At 48.4% G+C, this 17,870-nt stretch overlaps 1 protein-coding gene and 1 long non-coding RNA gene across 19 annotated transcripts in view, besides 3 other annotated features; one reads left to right on the top strand and one right to left on the bottom strand.

Annotated features, from left to right (window-relative positions):
* The window catches only part of SSH1 (slingshot protein phosphatase 1), a 79,393-nt gene that overhangs the window by 38,754 nt on the left and 22,769 nt on the right, over positions 1 to 17,870 (top strand). For 12 of the 16 annotated variants that reach the window (XM_047429022.1, XM_005268985.3, XM_047429023.1 and 9 more), the window contains 8 exons: positions 517 to 581; positions 1,671 to 1,792; positions 7,502 to 7,570; positions 9,072 to 9,137; positions 11,003 to 11,197; positions 12,436 to 12,529; positions 13,646 to 13,774; positions 16,462 to 16,508. In XM_047429022.1, the coding sequence (XP_047284978.1) occupies positions 517 to 581; positions 1,671 to 1,792; positions 7,502 to 7,570; positions 9,072 to 9,137; positions 11,003 to 11,197; positions 12,436 to 12,529; positions 13,646 to 13,774; positions 16,462 to 16,508 (787 nt within the window). Of the gene's footprint in view, positions 1 to 271; positions 399 to 516; positions 582 to 1,670; positions 1,793 to 7,330; positions 7,401 to 7,501; positions 7,571 to 9,071; positions 9,138 to 11,002; positions 11,198 to 12,435; positions 12,530 to 13,645; positions 13,775 to 16,461; positions 16,509 to 17,870 lie in introns of those variants that run through there. The other 4 variants (XM_011538501.4, XM_011538500.4, XM_047429025.1 and 1 more) reach the window with 4 other exon arrangements.
* LOC101929204 (uncharacterized) lies at positions 2,485 to 16,700 on the bottom strand. 3 transcript variants are annotated; one of them, XR_007063451.1, is made up of 5 exons: positions 16,296 to 16,700; positions 7,314 to 7,532; positions 6,747 to 7,018; positions 6,370 to 6,537; positions 2,485 to 4,464 (listed from the first exon to the last, which is right to left on the bottom strand). It is a non-coding gene; the product is annotated as an uncharacterized LOC101929204 (long non-coding RNA). The 3 variants fall into 3 exon arrangements; XR_945329.3 differs by having other exon boundaries at positions 6,370 to 7,018; XR_007063452.1 differs by lacking the exon at positions 6,370 to 6,537.
* Positions 4,036 to 4,639: an enhancer, noted in NCBI's record as "H3K4me1 hESC enhancer chr12:109207967-109208570 (GRCh37/hg19 assembly coordinates)". NCBI's record gives its function as "activates a minimal SCP1, AML or CMV promoter by ChIP-STARR-seq in primed H9 embryonic stem cells {active_cell/tissue: H9 hESC(primed)}" and the evidence as "EXISTENCE:reporter gene assay evidence [ECO:0000049][PMID:30033119]".
* Positions 12,037 to 13,236: an enhancer, noted in NCBI's record as "CDK7 strongly-dependent group 2 enhancer chr12:109199370-109200569 (GRCh37/hg19 assembly coordinates)". NCBI's record gives its function as "activates an origin of replication core promoter dependent on BRD2, BRD4, P300/CBP, MED14 and CDK7 cofactors, with strong dependence on CDK7, by STARR-seq in HCT116 cells {active_cell/tissue: HCT116}" and the evidence as "EXISTENCE:reporter gene assay evidence [ECO:0000049][PMID:35650434]".
* Positions 16,281 to 17,234: an enhancer, noted in NCBI's record as "NANOG-H3K27ac hESC enhancer chr12:109195372-109196325 (GRCh37/hg19 assembly coordinates)". NCBI's record gives its function as "activates a minimal SCP1, AML or CMV promoter by ChIP-STARR-seq in naive H9 embryonic stem cells {active_cell/tissue: H9 hESC(naive)}" and the evidence as "EXISTENCE:reporter gene assay evidence [ECO:0000049][PMID:30033119]".

Below are 17,870 nucleotides of genomic sequence, written 5' to 3'. Positions count from 1 at the left end.
GTGAGCTGAGATCGTACCACTGCACTCCAGCCTGGGTGACAGTGCGAGACTCTGTATAGAAGAAGAAGTTGTTTGAAGAGGAAACGTGATGCTCTGTCCTTTTTCTCTAATGATTAACTCTTAGCAAATGCCTTACTTCCAGCCACAGCTGTCGTTTCTAGGCACCCCAACCTGCCGAGTAACATTGGCTTGAATGAAATAACATTTTTCTCTAGGCTTGCCTGTATTTTTCACATTTTGTATTTGGAAACCTATACTGTATGTATTTCAGGAAATAAGAGCAACTTTTAACAACATGACAGTAAGCTCCATGTCACCCATCCACGTCGCACAGTATTCAGAGTGGTGTAAGAGAAATTCAGACTTGAAGTTTTTGTGGTGATTCTCCTGTGGTGTAGGTAGACAAATTTTAACTTCTCAATCTTTTTCCAAGCCCTCAAAGTCAGCCTTTCAGAGGTTTTTTTTCCTAGAGAGTAGGTAAGAGACCTTTTAAAGCTTTCTTTATTGGTCCAACAGGTGATCTGCCTCAACATCTTCAGGTGATGATCAACCTTCTGCGTTGCGAAGACAGAATCAAGCTGGTAAGAAGCAGTGAGAATGTCAAGTTAAAAAATTTTTTTTTAATTTTTGTGAGATGAGGGTCTTGCTCTGTTGCCCAGGCTGGAGTGCAGTGGCATGATCTTAGCTCACTACAGCCTCAAACTCCTGGGTTCAAGCAATCTTCCCACCTCAGCCTCCTGGATAGCTGGGACTACAAGTGTGTACCACCCTGCCTTATTTTTAAAAAAATTTTGTGGATATGGGGTCTTGCTATTTTGCCCAGGCTGGTCTTGAACTCCTGGCCTCAAATGATTCTCCTGCCTCTGCCTCCCAAAGTCCTGGAGTTATAGGTGTAAGCCACCGTGCCCAGCCAGCAAGTTTTAATTTTTAATTGTGAAACCTGGTGGGGAACCATTCGTGAATGATAAGGGGAAAAGCTTTTAGGTTACAACAAATTCTCAAATTGTGCACTAAAGCCAAAGCCAGGTTGACTCCTCAGTTCCCCAGAGGGGCGGGAGGAGGGATGAAACAGGTCTCCACGGCAGTTAAATAAGCTAAATACGAACTTTCTTTGGATTTCATGTGTTCACTGATTTCTTGCATTTTGGGTGATTCCTCTGAGCCAGGCGGCGTCCCTGGTGCTACAGAGAGAAACGAGGCCTGGTTCCTGCTGTCAAGAACTTCCGCTTTGTGTTTTGTTGTGTTGTTGTTGTTTGAGACAGAATCTCACTCTGTCGCTCTGGCTGGCATGTGGTGGCATGATCTCAGCTCACTGCAACCTCCGCTTCCCGGGTTCAAGAGATTCTCGTGCCTCAGTCCCCTGAGTAGCTGGGATTACAGGCGCACGCCACCATGCCCAGCTAATTTTTGTATTTTTAGTAAGAGATGGGGTTTTGCCATGTTGGCCAGGCTGGTCTCGAACTCCTGACCTCAAGTGATCTGCCTACCTTGGCCTCCCAAAGTGCTGGGATTACAGGCCTGAACCACCATGCCCAGCCAAGAATTTTCTCTTCATTTTTAACTCCCAGAGGGAAAGGTAGAACACTGAAAGTGTTGATCTTGCATTGGAGATGGGAGGGAGGCACCACCTCCAAAGGCAGGTTAGTGAGAGCATGTCTGCCCTGTTCCAGGCAGTGCGCCTGGAGAGCGCCTGGGCGGACCGGGTCCGGTACATGGTGGTGGTGTACAGCAGCGGGCGCCAGGACACCGAGGAGAATATCTTGCTGGGAGTGGACTTTTCCAGTAAGGAAAGGTGAGTCTGATGGGCTAGGTGTTCCCTTCTGTGAGGGAGGCAAGAGTTGCTGCTGGACAAAGCATTCCATGGTCCCATATCCATCAGAGGTGGGAGAGGGCTGCGTCCTGATGGAGAGCCTGGGGAGTCGAGCCACTGGGAACACTAGGGTGTGCCATTTCAGCTCTCTGTGCCAGGCACCGTGCCAGCTCCAGGCTGTGCTCTCAGAACTCAGTCAATTGAGAGGACAGAAAGTTATGCTGTTTGCTTAGAGAGGTTTTACACCAGCTGCTATAGAGTGGGGCACCTTAGCCAGAAATGCTTCCTGAAGGAGGTGACAACAACGCCGAACCCAGAAGGCCAAACCAGAGTCTGCCAAGGGAAGCAGGGAGACCCTCTCAGGCAGAGGGGCCCGGGGAGAAGTATGGAGATTGGTGGGCCTCGCCTCAGACACCTCACCCCACAGTGATACTCCACTGATTCCCAAGTACTTCATGGCAGGTCCTAGTCAGAGGCTTGAAGTGTAGCTTGTAATTTCCCACTAACTGGAGGCCAAGTAAGTTAGAGCATTGACCCCAAGATGCGTGTGAAATGAGGGTGGAGTCACTCCCCTGACATCACAAGATAAATGAATGCCTGTGAGATCATTGCAAAACCTGGATTTGTTAAAACTAGATTAGATTCCCTTTATTCATCATTCATTCATCGACTCATTCATTAAGCATATGATTTATTTGCATTCTCCTGTGTATGAGGCAATGGGCTAGGCCCAGGTAAACAAAGAAGCAACAGTACACACAGTTCTTGGCCTCAGAGAGCTTCTAAGTGAGCATGGAAGACAGTCACAACCAGATAGGAGGGAGAGAGTGACCGAGAGGTGCTGGGGTTTTGTGAGACCACAGGAGGGGGTGACTGTTGAGAGCACCTGGCAGGACCTTTCTGGCAGGAGTGAAGCCTAAGCCGACTCTTAACGGGCAAGTGGGCAGTCAGGCGAGCTCTAGGGTGGAGGCGGAGCAGCAAGGTGCATTTGAGGAGCATTTGAGGCAGAATCAACAGCAGAAACCAGTCAGGGAGGCCGTGAGTGTCACGGTAACAGTATGGTCTTGTCTTGTTCCCATGAGAGCTTCTGTAAGTCACATGCTAGCGACTGAGACTTTGATGCTTGTTAGAAGGAGATGAATAAAAAAGGGAGGACATTTCTTTTATGACATGGCCCCCACCCCCGCAGTACATAATAAATAGCACTATGAGAAAGTTTCCTGTGACACATGTAGAAGATGGAGTTGGGGCTGGCCTCTGTGGCCTTGGGGTGGTTGGGAACCTGGGGCTAGAAGAACCTGTAGCATAGGAGGTGTTCGGATGTGAGCTCTGAAGAGCCACTTGGAGACTGGAGGGCATGGTCCATTAGGATGGGGTGCCACCAGGCAGGTGCTCTCAGAAATGCCCAGAGCCCCATCTATTTGGCCATTATCTGTACGGTTCTGAGGCATAGCGGTGTTTAGTGTTTGACCGTCTTGCGGTTGTAATTGTTCTTCCAGTGACTGTCTAGCTTTTCTGAATCTTTCTGAGGCAGGGACTTCCCTCGCAAGTGTGGCCTGTTCCAATAATGCTTTCTGATCCCGAACGGAAATCGGCCTCCCATGGCCTGTGCCCAATGTCTTGATCCTAACCGTGGGAGCAGTGTGGAAGCCCAGTCCTCCTGACTGTAGAGTACAGCACACCTACAAAATGCCTCTGTGAACATCTCATTTAACCCCTTCATCCCCCTGGGGTGGGTAGTGCTACCTCAGATTTTACACATGACAGTCAGAAGCTCACGAGGCTGCAGTGATTACCCCAGGGTCATCCCGGTTAGTGGCCGGGCTGGGACTTGGAGGCAGGGCTTTTCCTGTCGACCTGCTGAATGAGTAGATGCCACTCATTCTTTCCCAGCAGGCTGCAGCTCTCTTCCTGTACACCACCTTGCTCATTCATTCACTCCTAGGTTTATCATGTATGGACTTGCTAGCTCTTTCCCTGTGCCGGGCGCCCCGCCAGGTGCTGGGGCCACATCAGGGAGCACGGCAGACACACCTACAGTCTCACAGAGCTCACAGGCCAGCAGTCACGGGCATGCCTTAGATGCCCACATGCGCATCCCACTCCGCTGCTGCCTGGCTGGAGGAGACTGGCCCGTGCGCTCGTCCGCACCGCCCCCATGGCGCTCTTCCTTCCCACCCTCTCCTCCCTTTGCCTCCCCTCGGCACCCCGACTTCAGTTCTCCCAGGTCCCTCTCCCTGTGGTTCCCTCGCCTCTCCTGCATGCTCTTCCCTCAAGTTCGAGTCTCTGCACCCTCTGAGCAGGAGCCACGGCCCACCTGTGGGCACCGACCCCAAGGCCAGGGCAGGTCTCTGAGGTTGGAGAGGGCGGTTGAGAGGCCACCCAAGATGAGCAGGGGCCTGATGGGAACCGGAACTAAGCAGTCTTTCCTGTCGCTGGGCCTGACACAGCTGCCTTCTGTGCCCAGGGAATCCCGGGGGCTGGGAACTGGGCCTTCTCCTGCAGCTCCCACATTGCCCGGGCACCAGGCTGTTGTCTTCCTTCCTGGCTTGAAAAAAAGTCCAGGTCCCCGCCAGAAGCCTTTGGCCTGCTGAGGGAGCAATGTACTTGTTTTTTCTAAATTCCTTCCTTGGGATTTTATTTTTTTATTCCCCCTGCCAAAAAAAAAAAGGAAGAGACAAGCATTACCCCCAAAGGGCATCTTCATAAGAGTCCAACGCTTCTCCAGAAGGCAGCATTGGAATGGCGGCTCCTGCAGCAGGCTTGCGCACTCTCAAAGTTTTTGTTTTTGTTTTTAAGATGGGGTCTCACTCTATCACCCAGGCTGGAGTGTAGTGGCACGATCTTGGCTCACTGCAACCTCTGCCTCCCGCGTTCAAGCGATTCTCCTGCCTCAGTCTCCTGAGTAGCTGGGATTACAGGCATGCACCACCATGCCTGGAAAGTTTTTGTATTTTTAGTAGAGACAGGGTTTCACCATGTTAGCCAGGCTGGTCTCGAACTACTGACCTCAAGTGATCCACCCTCCTCGGCCTCCCATAGTGCTGGGATTACAGGCGTGAGCCACTGTACCCGGCCTCACTCAGAGTCTTATATCTGCATACGCATCCTGGGAAGACCAGAGCAGCCATGCCACCTTAGGGTTCAATCGTGGATTCTATTCTCTTCTCTTCTTTCTTTTCCTGTTTTCCCTATCCCCTTCCCCTTCGCTTCCCTTCCCTTTCACCTTCCCTTCCCCTTCCCTTCCCTTCCCCTCCCCTCCCCTCCCCTCCCCTTCCCTTTCCTTCCTTTTTTTTTTTTTTTTTTAATTTGGAGACAGGATCTCGCTCTGTCACCCAGGCTGGAGTGGTGAAATCAAGGCTCATTGCAGCCTCAACCTCCCAGAATCAATCATTTCTCCTACCTCAGCCCCCTGAGTAGCCGAGGCCACAGGCACATGCCACCATTCCCAGCTAATTTTTTTTTATATATAATTTTTAAAAAAATCACTATTGCCCAGGCTGGTCTCAAACTCCTGGGCTCAAGCAGTCCTCTTGTCTCCACCTCCCAAAGTGCTGGGATTACAGGTATGAGCCACCACACCCGAGCAGGATTATGTTTTCGATTCGGATTGGGAACATTTTGAATGCCATGAGTGTACACCACCATCCACACATCAGTGTTTTGCCATTGGTGAAGGACTCCACGATGGGGTCTTGGAACAGGCTGGTCTCCTGCCTGGACCTCCAGACCCATCTGGCTTCTCTGTTCCCGCCATACAGGCCCTAGGAACTTGGAGCCTGCTTTCTTCTTCTGCAATTGCTCCCACCCACTTTATCCTTTGGGGTCACTCTTCCTCTAAAAAGATTCAGCTTCCCTTACTATGTATCCCTTTCCTGCTTCCCATGTATGCTCCCCAGGTGGAGACAAGAGGACTGCTTGAGCCCAGGAGTTTAAGACCAGCCTGGGCAATATAGTGGGGCCTTATCTGTACAAAAAAGTTTTTTTTAAAAAGCTGGGCATAGTGGCATGTGCCTGTGGTCCTAGCTACTCAGGAGGCTGAGGTGGGAGGATTGATTAGGCCCTGGAGGTCGAGGCTGCAGTGAGCTGTGATTACACCACTGTATTCCAGCCTGGGCAACGGAGCAAGACTCTGGCTCAAAAAAAAAAAAAAAAGAAAAGAAAAATATGCTTCCCATGGGTCTTCCTTCCTTGTAGAAATCTTATTGTTAATCATTGTAGGACTGCTGGAAACTCACAAAAGTAACAGCTAGGGGATGATAGGAGATGCGTGCAGTTGTTGCAGTCCTGTATGGTCCCTGTTCCATGCTCCTGGCTCTAGTTGAAGGCCGTGAGCAGAAGTCCCCTGTGGGCTGAGCCTCTTGCGCATCTCTGTCCAAGGGAGGCCGGCCTAGGGGCTTAGGTTCCACATGGTTTTATGTGCCCCTTATTTCCCATGGGCAGTCTCATCCCTGCCCCCTTGACCTCCGCCTGCCCTGGAAGGCCCCGCCCCTGGCCTAGGCCTGGCCTTGGCCCTGCCCCCGTCCTGTGCTCTCTGCAGCTCTCTGTGCTGTACCCACCTCCTTATGAGTTCCTGGTGAGGGTTGTCAGGGCTCAGGTTGGGTCTTCTAGACTGCACGTTCTCAGGGCACCATCTGACCTGGCTTCTGCCTGTCGGATTTGGGCTCCATAGGGACCCTTTCCTTGCCTCCTCCTGGGGCTGACACAGCCACGTGGTCCCTAGAGCTCTGTGAGGCCCAAAATAAATTTTATTTTTCAGTGCTATAAGAGAAATACTAGTTAGTCCCTCCAGAGTGGGTAGGATGGCACGGAGGGACCTGAGAATTTGCCCAACCCAAAAGCCTGAGTGTCATTGGCCGGAAGGGCTTGGAACAACCTTCCCCACAGATATAGAAGCATGGGGTTGAGAAGAGTCCTGCATGGGGCAGGGCGCTACCTGGGAGGGGAGCTGGGTCTGTGATCCCCAGAGGCCCCATTCACACGGGCACACATAAAACATGACCGTGGTGTTGGCAGCAGCAGAGATGGAAGCATGAGATTCCTGAGGTCCACAGAGCTGGCTCTTGGCACGGTTACAGCGGCTTCTCACAAGTCGACTTTTAAATGCCTGAAGAATTTTCATCATAATCTGAGGACTCTCCGATAAGCCCTTTCTTTCCCTCTGTTTTTCAGTGGCGCCAGTCTCTGCAGTCATTCGGTCTCATTTCACTGGTAGGATGGGCAAAACAAAACCAGATTAAGCGAGATTGTAAAACCGCAGCCACACTAAAGGCGCAGGTGCACAGGTCTGAAAGTGAGCTCCGGGAACGGTGTGAGCACGCTCCCCCTGCCGCCACCCAGGACAGGCCAGGCCGGGCTTGGCTGCCGGTGCTTGCCTATGTACCCCCAAGTACACATGTGGCCTCCGCCAGCAGAGCACCAGCCCTGGGCAGCTGCCTCCCTGCTGTAGAGTGGGCGTGCGGTCAGCCCACACTGCACCCAAAAGCCTCAGCTGAGCACTTACGGAGTTGTGTCCACAGGGCCATCCCAGACCTGTGTCTTCTAGAATTCATCAGTGAACGGTTCCTATGCAGACAGCCTACTCCCACACGTACGTCCAACAGCCCGTCCTGGACCAGGTGGTGAGCTGGAAAGGCTGTACACGTAGGTGGGTAGACGCTGACTCCACATGTCTTCTCTCCCCCATCGCAGTAAAAGCTGCACCATTGGGATGGTTCTCCGACTGTGGAGCGACACGAAAATCCACCTTGATGGAGATGGGTAAGGAGGTCTCTTTAAAAGATTCTCTCACTGTATGTAGTAGGCATTGAAAACACGAGCTGGTTCAGGCATCCTTGGATGATCATTAGCACTGAATGACACGTGTGGCGGGAGTGTCACAGCGGGAGAAATCATATTGCCCTCGAGTGAGAGGGCACGAGGGAGGGTATGTTTTGGACGTCTGATTGGGGAGTTTAGCTCATGAAGTATCAGTGGGAGTGATTACAGGAGATATGCTGCTGTGTGAAGTTCAAGACAGCGGTAAACCGATACCCATCCGCCACCTCGATGGGTTAAGTGAACTCTCACCGCATGCCCTCCATGGGGCTTGTCCTGAAAGTTCACGGACTAATGTGGTGCAGCAGGAACTCACCAGCTTTGGGGGTACAAGGAGAGACATACAACTGACAGGCACAACAAGGTTTCAAGCGCCACCCTGGGGGCCACAAAGGAGGAATGAACCAGTTCCACCCGGGCAGGCAGTCGGGGGATGAGGGGCCGTCTAGCGTCCGCACGCGTTCACTCCCAAGGAAGGTGTGTGGGCACGGTGAGGAGTGGGAAGAAACAGAATAGGAAAGTGGCCTGACACGGGGATTCTAAGCAGGTCAGAGTTATGTTGCCTTGTAGGATGGGAAGAGAAAAATAAAAATTTGATTTGTTGTTTAAGTGATGGGGTTATGGGGATATTTTTCCTTTTTAATTTTAATATCTTTGTATTAATTTTTTTTTCTCTTTTTTTCAACGGAGTCTCACTCTGTCACCCTGGGTGGAGTGCAGTGGTACGATCTCGGCTCACTGCAACCTCCACTTCCTGGGTTCAAGTGATTCTCCTGCCTCAGCCTCCCGAATAGCTGGGATTACAGGCACCTGCCACCATGCCTGGCTAATTTTTGTATTTTTAGTAAAGACGGGGTTTCACCATGTTGGCCAGGCTGGTCTCAAACTCTTGACCTCAGGTGATCCACCCTCCTCGGCCTCCCAAAGTGCTGGGATTACAGGCGTGAGCCACCACCCCTGGCTTGTATTAATTTTTTATATTTTATATTAGTATTTTATATTAACATATTTATATTAATGTATTAATAGATATTTTTATATATTGATTATTTTCCGTGCAATCCTATGAATATAGTTTCCATGCAATTACAAAAAGGAACGGCCGGGCCTGTGGGACAGGAGGTGGCAGGGAGGCAGGAACCACGTTGGAACATAGAGAGACGCTCTCGGAGGCCTTCACCTGGCACCCTTTGCTAGGGTTTCAGTTTTTGGTGGAACTCGCAGTGCTGGGTTAAAAACAAGCCCTCCTCATCTGGGAATGTGTCTCTTTCTGCCCTTGCCCATGTCTCTGCGAAAGCGGGTTCCGTAAAATCCCTCATCATGTGGCCTGAGATGTGCTTGTTCCCAGCGTGCGCAGTGGTTTGGCTCCCTCCTCCCAGAGTGATTTCACTCAAGGCGCTGATTTCTCACCACAGATACCTTTCTCTCTGTGTTTTATTCTCAGTGGGTTCAGCGTGAGCACAGCAGGAAGGATGCACATATTTAAGCCTGTGTCTGTCCAGGCCATGTGGTAAGTGTGGTTTTAGGGACTTTTAACTCCCTAGAAATATTTTCTTAGCCGACAGCATGAATAGAAAAACCCCTTCTACCAAGAAGCTCGTTACGTATGTGCATGTTGAGGGAGGCGCAAAATACATGTAACATAAAGTTTATCATTTTCACCATATTTAAAGGCACAATTTTTAGCGGCATTAAGTATATTCACAATGTTGGGGGGTTTGGGGTTTCTCGTTTTTTTTTTTTTTTGAGACAGGGTCTTGCTCCGTCACCCAGGCTGGGGTGCAGTGGTGTGATCATGGTTCACTGCAGCCTTGACCTCCCAGGCTCAGGTGATCCTCCTGCCTCAGCCTCCCAAGTAGCTGGGACTACAGGCATGCGCCACCACACCCGGCTAACTTTTCTATTTTTTTTTTTGTAGAGATGGGGTCTCACTATGTTGCCCAGGCTGGTCTCAAACTCCTGGCCTCAAGCAGTCCTCCCACCTCAGCCTCCTCCCAAAGTGCTGGGATTCCAGGCGTGAGCCACCGTACCTGGCCTCAGCCTATATTTTTGTAAAAAGAAGTAAAATGGGCTAGGCGTGGTGGCTCACAACTGTAACCCCAGCACTTTGGGAGGCCACGGTGGGTGGATGACCTGAGGTCAGGAGTTTGAGACCAGCCTGGCCAACATGGCAAAATGCTGTCTGTACTAAAAATACAAAAAATAGCCAGGTGTGACGGTACACACCTGTAGTCCCAGCTACTCAGGAGGCTGAGGCAAGAGAATTAGTTGAACCCAGGACATGGAGGTTGCCGTGAACCGAGATCACGCCCCTGCACTCCAGCCCGGGCGATGGAGTGAGACTCTCTCTCAAACAAAAAAAAAAAAAAAAAAAAAAAAAAGAAGTAAAAGAGGGTGACTAAATAAAACATAGATTCTTAATATTGTTTCCCAGTCTGCTCCCCAAACCTCTTCAGTTAGTTTCTATATTAAAATGACTTTCTAGAACTTGTTTTCTTAAGAAATCTAAGCATCTAAGCTATTAGAATGTTGATGGGGGGATGGGTGGAAATGTAATTATTTAGAATGCAGGCAGATGTCTCTGTTGCATATTAAAGACTTTTTCTTCCAGCTGCTAAGCTTAATTGTGGGTCTTAGGTTCAATGTGGGTCATATGAACATATGTTCAGGGTTACCACGCTTCAGGAGCAGTTCTTAATTCTCTGGAGTTAATTGATGGGTTGTAAAATAACCCGTGAACCACCTGATTGGAAGAGTTATGAAGTAGTTTGTTGTTGTTTGTTTCTGCTGCTCTTTGGAAATAATGTGGGGTGTTCTGGCCACTCTTAGATTCAATCAGTGAATATGTCCCAAGGACTAGCTCCGTGTCCTGGCGGGCTGAATGTTTCAGGCTATATGCATTCCCCAGCCGCCTGTATGTGTAAGTGTGACTCCAAGAGTGAGCCCTTTACAAACTGCACTTCTCAGCCGGGCATGGTGGCTCACGCCTATAATCCCAGTACTTTGGGAGGCCGAGGCGGGCAGATCACTTGAGGCTAGGAATTCAAGACCAGCCTGTCCAACATTGTGAAACCCTGTCTCTCCTAAAAATAGAAAAATTAGCTGGGCGTGGTGGTGGGCGCCTGTGGTCCCAGCTGCTCGGGAGGCTGATGCAGGAGAATTGCTTGAACCCAGGAGGCGGAGATTGCATTGGGCCGAGAACGTGCCACTGCACTCTAGCCTGGGAGTGACAGAGCGAGACTCTGTCCCAAAAAGAAATAATCAACCAATCAATCATTGCCCTTCCCTTCCCGTATTTGAACCCCTTTGTCAGAGGAGAAAACCCTGCATCTCTTGTGCCTTCCCAGGCCTGACCCTGTCTTCTCCTCGCCCCAGGTCTGCCCTGCAGGTGCTTCACAAGGCCTGCGAAGTGGCCCGGAGGCACAACTACTTCCCCGGGGGTGTAGCTCTCATCTGGGCTACCTACTATGAGAGCTGCATCAGCTCCGAGCAGAGCTGCATCAACGAGTGGAACGCCATGCAGGACCTGGAGTCTACGCGGCCCGACTCCCCCGCGCTATTTGTGGACAAGTAAGTGAGGTGCCTCTGGTGTGAGCGCACCCAAGCCCACAGGCACCTGCCTCTCCCCCACCTGCCCTGTGCCCGACCCTGAACCTGCATTGGGCCACACCTCCCCTGGAGTCCCTTGAGTGAGAACCCTAGCTTTCTCAGAACCAGCGTTTAAAGCAGGGGTCTGTGACACAGGCCCCTGTCCCATGCAAAAAAAAGAAAAAAAAAAAAAAAATTACTGATGAATTTGGTGAATGCATTTCTGGGGACGGGGTCCGTAACTCCCATCAGACTCTCAAAGGAATGTGTGGCCCTTTGTGTCCCCAACTCCTTCCAGAGCTCTGTGGTCTGGCCTTTTCTCTTCAGATTACCAGAGACTTAATTCTCAGAGCCTCCCGCTCTGCTCTGAGGAGAGTTAGGAATGTGTCCTCTGCTTCCTTGGATCCAAAAACACAACTGGTGAGGGCAGCCTGCCTTAGCAGCAGCCATGGTGAACCACATGACCTGTGTCGTGTGACCTACGACAGCGCTGACATGGAGAGGCCACACTCGCTGAAGTCTAGTTAGGGAGAATGCTGGTCGCCCCTCCCCTCGGGGTCAGGACCCTGCTCCCACAGTGTGGTGTTCCTCCAGGACACTGCATTTTGGGAAGACTATGGATAAACCACAGTGTGTTCAGAGGGCAGAGACCTGAGGGATGGGAAGCCACATTAGGAGAGGGCCTTGAAATCACGGAGGAAGGGTAGTTGCCTTTGAATATTTGAAGATTCCTCATGGGGAAGAAGGATTATCCTGGTCTGTGTGTCCCCTAGAGTTAAAACCAGAGCAGGGAAATACCCAGATTTTGATTCTGAGGAAAAAGGGGATAATGGGATCTGCTGCAGCTGGGCCGGGCTGCCTCAGACAGTGAGGTCCTCATGCCCACACGTGTTCGAGCAGAGACTCAAGGGCCCAGGGGCCTGGGGATGTTGCGCTGGGCATCCCAGCATCCTGCCCTAAGAGCGTCTGAGCAAGGAGTTTCCACACTGTCCTCTCCCCGCTTGACCTGCTCCCTGCTCTGTTGACTCCCGTGGGAGTTCTAGAGCTGCAGCGGGTTTTCTGTGCACCTCTCCCTGCTGCCTGAGAACATGCACACCAAGAAGCGTGCTCTCCTTGCCAAGCCGTGTTCTGTTTAGACCCAGGAGCATCTGGCATTCCTGTAACCTCCGACCACAAGCTTTCTACAGCTCCTTGCTCTCCTAAACGTCATTTCTTTCCAGGCCCACTGAAGGGGAAAGGACCGAGCGCCTCATCAAAGCCAAGCTCCGAAGCATCATGATGAGCCAGGATCTAGAAAATGTGACTTCCAAAGAGGTAAGACAACTCCTCCCTTCATTGCAGGTCAGAGGTCATGCAGCCTCCATGTGTCCTGCTCCCGAAAGTGCAGCAAAAGCAGGCCCAACATCTGGTTGTCTTTACCTGTCCTCTGGTATCAGCCCCCGGAGGCTTTTTTCTGCCTCGTTCTACAATTGTATCAGGCCTCGGAGTCAGACTCCAGTTTGAGTCCAGATCTGCCGCTTATCGGCTATGAGACATTGAGTGAATTTCTTGACCTTTGTGAGCCTCACCTATATGGCCTTTGGGGAGAAGTCCATGAGATCCACAGACTGCACCGAGAAGCATTGATCTGTTTTAATAACACCCCCTTGTTCTCTCTTCTGCTCCCTATTACCTTGGGTTTTATGGAAGAGACAGCAGACTTATTTCTCCACAGGATGACAGCTTGACCTGCAAGTATCAAATTCTAGAATAATTTCTCTCTACCTTTTTACCTTTTCATGTTTTTTCCTGGATCACTTTTTTTTCCATTGCTTTTTATTCAAAGCATGCAATGAATTACAATGAGAGATTCAACTGGATGGATCTAAGAAGTTAAAATTGACATTTTAAAAGTTCATTTATAATCTTTTTTTTTTTTTTAAGAGACTTGGTCTTCCTGTGTTGACCAGGCTGGTCTTGAACTCCTGGCCTCAAGCAATCCTCCCACCAAGGCCTCCCAGAGTGCCGGGATTACAGGCATGAGCCACTCCATCCAGCCCTGTCTTTTAATTAATGAATACATTTTTTAAAAATCATATTGTGATATCTTTCCAAGAAAGATAGAACTGATTTTAGATTATTTGATGTATTTGACATTTAATTATAAAAGTAAAAGTAAGTTTAAACTTGGTAGAAGAGATCTCATGGAAATCAAATTCCTTATTTGAAATAATAAACTTTACCCAGTTGGGTTTACTTCTAAGCTGAATAACCTGCATTCCTGCCACCCACGCATGTATGTTGCGTGTATCTAAATGTATTACTCTGAAAGAGAAAAAACACCCACCTTTTTTGGAAATAGGCACAGTTTCCATTGTAACTTTAATTCTTTTGAGGTGGACGATTGTTTTCTTTAACAAATCACTTTTCCTAATATTTTCTACTCCACAGATTCGTAATGAATTAGAGAAACAGATGAATTGTAACTTGAAGGAACTCAAGGAATTTATAGACAATGAGATGCTACTTATCTTGGGACAGATGGACAAGCCCTCCCTTATCTTCGATCATCTTTATCTCGTAAGAGGCATGGCCCTGGCAGTATCTGGTTTGGGGGACATAAATCAGACCCTGGTTGTTTAAGAGTTTGTAGCAAGTCCGGGAGAAAAAGCAGGCAAAAAACTTGAGTTGCCAGAGCCTCCATCCTGGCTGGCAGGAGCTCCCCTCTTTGGCCCCTTCTCTGGCCTGCAGCCTGCTGATCTGCTCTTGAGCCAGCTGTTTGAGACGTGGCTTCCAGCTGAGCTGCGGGGAGTTGTTTGGGAGCTATTTGGCGTAGTCAACTGGCATGTGTTTCAGACTCTTGCAAACCCTTTGTCTTCTTCAGCCACTAACACATAGGCCCCATCCAGTTACTTCCAAGTGGTTTGTGGGCTAAAAAACCCCAGTTACTAAAGGAAGTGTCCTCACCAAACCCCAGAATTATGCCTAGGCATCCTGAGACATGAGAAACAACAGGGAGGAGAGATCACACAGCTGACACGGAGCTCCCGCTGAGCTTGTCCAGACAGCTTTTCCATGCACGGCTCCAGGGCCGCTGGAAGCCCTCACCCGGGTCCTGTAGCTCTGGGTGGGTTGTACTGATTTCTGTGCACCTCCACGGCTAGCTCAGATTGTTTTAATGCTGTGAATATCCATAGAAGGCAACTGGCAAGTTGTCAAAGTCAGAGAGGCTATAGAGGAAGGCACGTTACTAAAATTAGAGAGGCCTAGTGGTGTAATGAAAATCAGGGCCCACCAGGGCCGGGATTCCCACTCCTCAGCCTCAGCGGCTATGTGACTTGGAAGAAGTCACTTTTCCTCTTTTTTTCTTCATCCTATACCCCAAGGGATGACTATGAGGATTAAATGAAATACAAACTGGGCACAGTGGCTTATGCCTGTAGTCCCAGCTACTCAGGAGGCTGAGGGGGAGGATAGCTTTAGCCTAGGAGTTGGAAGCCAGCCTGGGCAACATAGTGAGACCTTGTCTCTAAAAAATATTTTTTTTAATAAAATAAAATTAAAAATACATATTTAAAGCACCGAGTACAGTTTTTGCAGGTGCTAACTAATGGTAACCATTGTTAGAGGAGAAAGTGCTTCCTGGGAAAGCTAAGGAAGTAAATTTACTACTAGAGACAAGAAAGACTTTGTTTTCTGTAGGAAGTAATTAAGAGTTATGTATATGTCATGATATCTATGTAGATAAGTAGATATGTATATTTTTTAATACATTTCTGTATACAAATCTATATAGATTTCATAGTGATTGATTAAAATGTATGTACATGTGTGGATTTGAAAGTGTGGGCAGTCCTGGGCACTGATCTCCCTGGAAGTCTGTTGATTTCCCTGGTGAGAAGGGAACAGAAGGCACCTTCCTTCTTTCTCCACTAGGTGGCAGTCACAGCAAGAGGACAGTCTCAGCTTCAGCGGCACTCGCGTTATGTTTTTAGTGTGGTTCAGTGCTTTATGTCACTTTTTCCATGAGAGATACTAAAGGAATTTTTATGTTTGGGCCTCTCCCTCAAATATGAAAATTCAGCTAGTGTCGCACATTGCCAGCTTGCTCAGGGCCCTGCCACCCCTGGTCCTGAGGGGTCTGCCCTCTTGGGAACTTGGGAAAGGAAGTTTCAAGGAAGACAAAGGTGGATTCTTTTGCTCTTTATGATACTATGTTGTTTGCATTTCCTAAGAGGAAAGTGATCATTTTTTCTTTTCTTTTTTTTTTTCCCCCGTTCCATGTCCTTTGAATGCTTGGGAGTGGAAGGTTTTTCAATGATACCATTTTTTAAAAGTACTAAATTAAAACATGTTGCAGAAAGTCTGAAAATAGAAATAAATCTAAAGAAGAAAAAAGCATTCCCGATCTCGCAAATCCAGAGGTAGTCCCTGTTAACATTTTGGCATATTTATTTTCCCATCTTCTGTTTTTTTGGGTTTTTAAAATGCATATATAGCTTCTTTGAAAACGCACAAAGAAAGAAAGGATCATACTGTTTATGTTTATATAGTCCTGTATCCTCCTCTCTTAAAATTTTTTTTCCTTACATGGTATTTGCCTGTGTCATTAAATATTCTGCAAAATTTATTTGTTTTAAAGACTCCATCATGAAGATCCAGCCTCATTTATTTTACTCATTTTTTCCCTTTGGACGTTTGGGTGGTTTCCACTGGTTTATTACAAATAATTATAAATATCCTCCTACCTAAATCACTGTGTGAGTTCTGATTATTTCCTCAGGATAGCTTTTTGTAAGTGGAATTACTGGGTCAGAGGGTGGGAACTTTTTCAGTATTGCCAAAATACTTCCCAGAAGGTAGAACGATTCCTGCTTTAATTAGTGGCTTGTGAACGTGCCCTTCCCTGGGTGGGAGGTCGCAGGTCATTGCCTCTGCTTACAGGACCCCCCCCCACTGGACTCTTAGGAAAGGAAGTGGGGAGACGGAGAGCAGGTTTTCCTGGACTTGCTGTTTCCCTAAGGCCAAGGGGCCAGTGAGGGCCGGGACCCTTCCCTCCCTCCGTCCCTCCCTCCCTTCCTCTCATGCTCTGAGTACTCACTCAGGAATCTCCTTGAATATCAGCCGCTGGTTCTCTCTGTTCTCTGAGGCCAATGGGGCCATGAAATAAGACCTCACCGCCAGAGCTAGGGCAAACCATGCATCCCCTGAGCAGCTCTGAGGCTGACATGTGACACTCACAGGAGCTTGTGTGATCTGTCTCCCAGGGCTCTGAATGGAATGCATCCAATCTGGAGGAACTGCAGGGCTCAGGGTGAGTCTCCTCCCCTTGTCTTTCCCTGTCCTTCCAGGCAGCTTAGAAACCCTCCACTCTGCCATGGAGGGGGAGACCTTGGGGCTGCCTGCCTGTAATTGCCTGCACCCTGGTCTCTGAAGTGGCTGCCAGGGGTTGATGTGCATAGCTAAACAGATGTGCTTCCAAACACCACGCCCTGAATAATTCATGGAGTTTAGATTGTGCCGAAGTCTCGCGTGATCGTGTGGATTGAGGAAAACTTAAAATTACACTCTAATTGCTGTAGGACCGCCTGGATATTGATTAGGCTCTGTGCTGCCTCACCCCCACCCCGCTTCCCTGCCCCGCACAGTTGCTGCAAACCCTAGTGTGGACGCAGAGGTCTGCTGGCTGTTGCGTTAGTCAGCAACCCTGATCCCTGGGCCACTTTGGGCTCTATCTGAGCTAATGCTTTGGGGCCTGGTGGGAATCTTGCAACTTTACGCTCAGTGTTGGCCAGAAGCATATGCCTGTCGTAGTCTGACAAACACTCAGCAGGGATGAAAAATGTTTCAATCTAGACCTTCAAGAACAGATGTCTGGACTTTTTTTTTTTTTTTTTTTAAAACAACACAGCCACAAAATCACCGTTCTGTGGGCCTGACATGATGACATTCTAGAATTACCACGTTTAAAAATCAAGACTAAACAAATCTTAAAATACATCTTTAGAACTACCGGTTAAGATGCATTCTTTCAACAGAAAGTATTCTTAAAACGTAAGGCCATACTCTTCTGTGCTTTCGTCTTGCTGGGAATAAATTAATGATTTTCTTAGGTATTTTTTTAAGCATGTCTAAATATTATGAAACCTATTTGAGATGTTTTCTAACTCCTGACATTATTTTCTTCCAGAAGTAAAAGTATTGATTAAGTTGAGAGAACTACAGAACCTGGGTTAGCAGACCCTGTCAAATACTTATTTGTCTATCTTGCCTTTTTCCAAAAAAAGATTTAAGGCAGTTCCCAAGGATATAGATAATGGATGGATATAGTCTGCTTTTTAGCTCTTTAAGAGTGAAGACACTGGGATTTTTTTAAGCCTCTGTATATTCATAATAGTCATGAATAGTTATAAATTTAAGTAATACGTATATTTAATTTTCCAGAATGCTTTAAACTGAGCTTTCTTTTTATAAGGTCTTTACAATAATTTGGTTTCTTAGTATAAATATAACACATTTTCACCATTGAGAGGGCATTTAGAAAATACCAAAAAACATAGCTATTAAGGAAAAACCAAAGTCCCGCCACGAACATATGACCCTTGGTTAATGTGTGTTTCCTTTTCTTTTCTCTGCCAGTTTTTATTACCTTGCTTTTCTTTCTCATTCAGATTGT

This window comes from Homo sapiens, chromosome 12 (assembly GCF_000001405.40).
Source record: "Homo sapiens chromosome 12, GRCh38.p14 Primary Assembly".
NCBI lineage: Eukaryota > Metazoa > Chordata > Mammalia > Primates > Hominidae > Homo > Homo sapiens.
The sequence above is the reverse complement of the archived record's forward strand: the minus strand, read 5'-3'. Positions and strand labels throughout refer to the sequence as shown.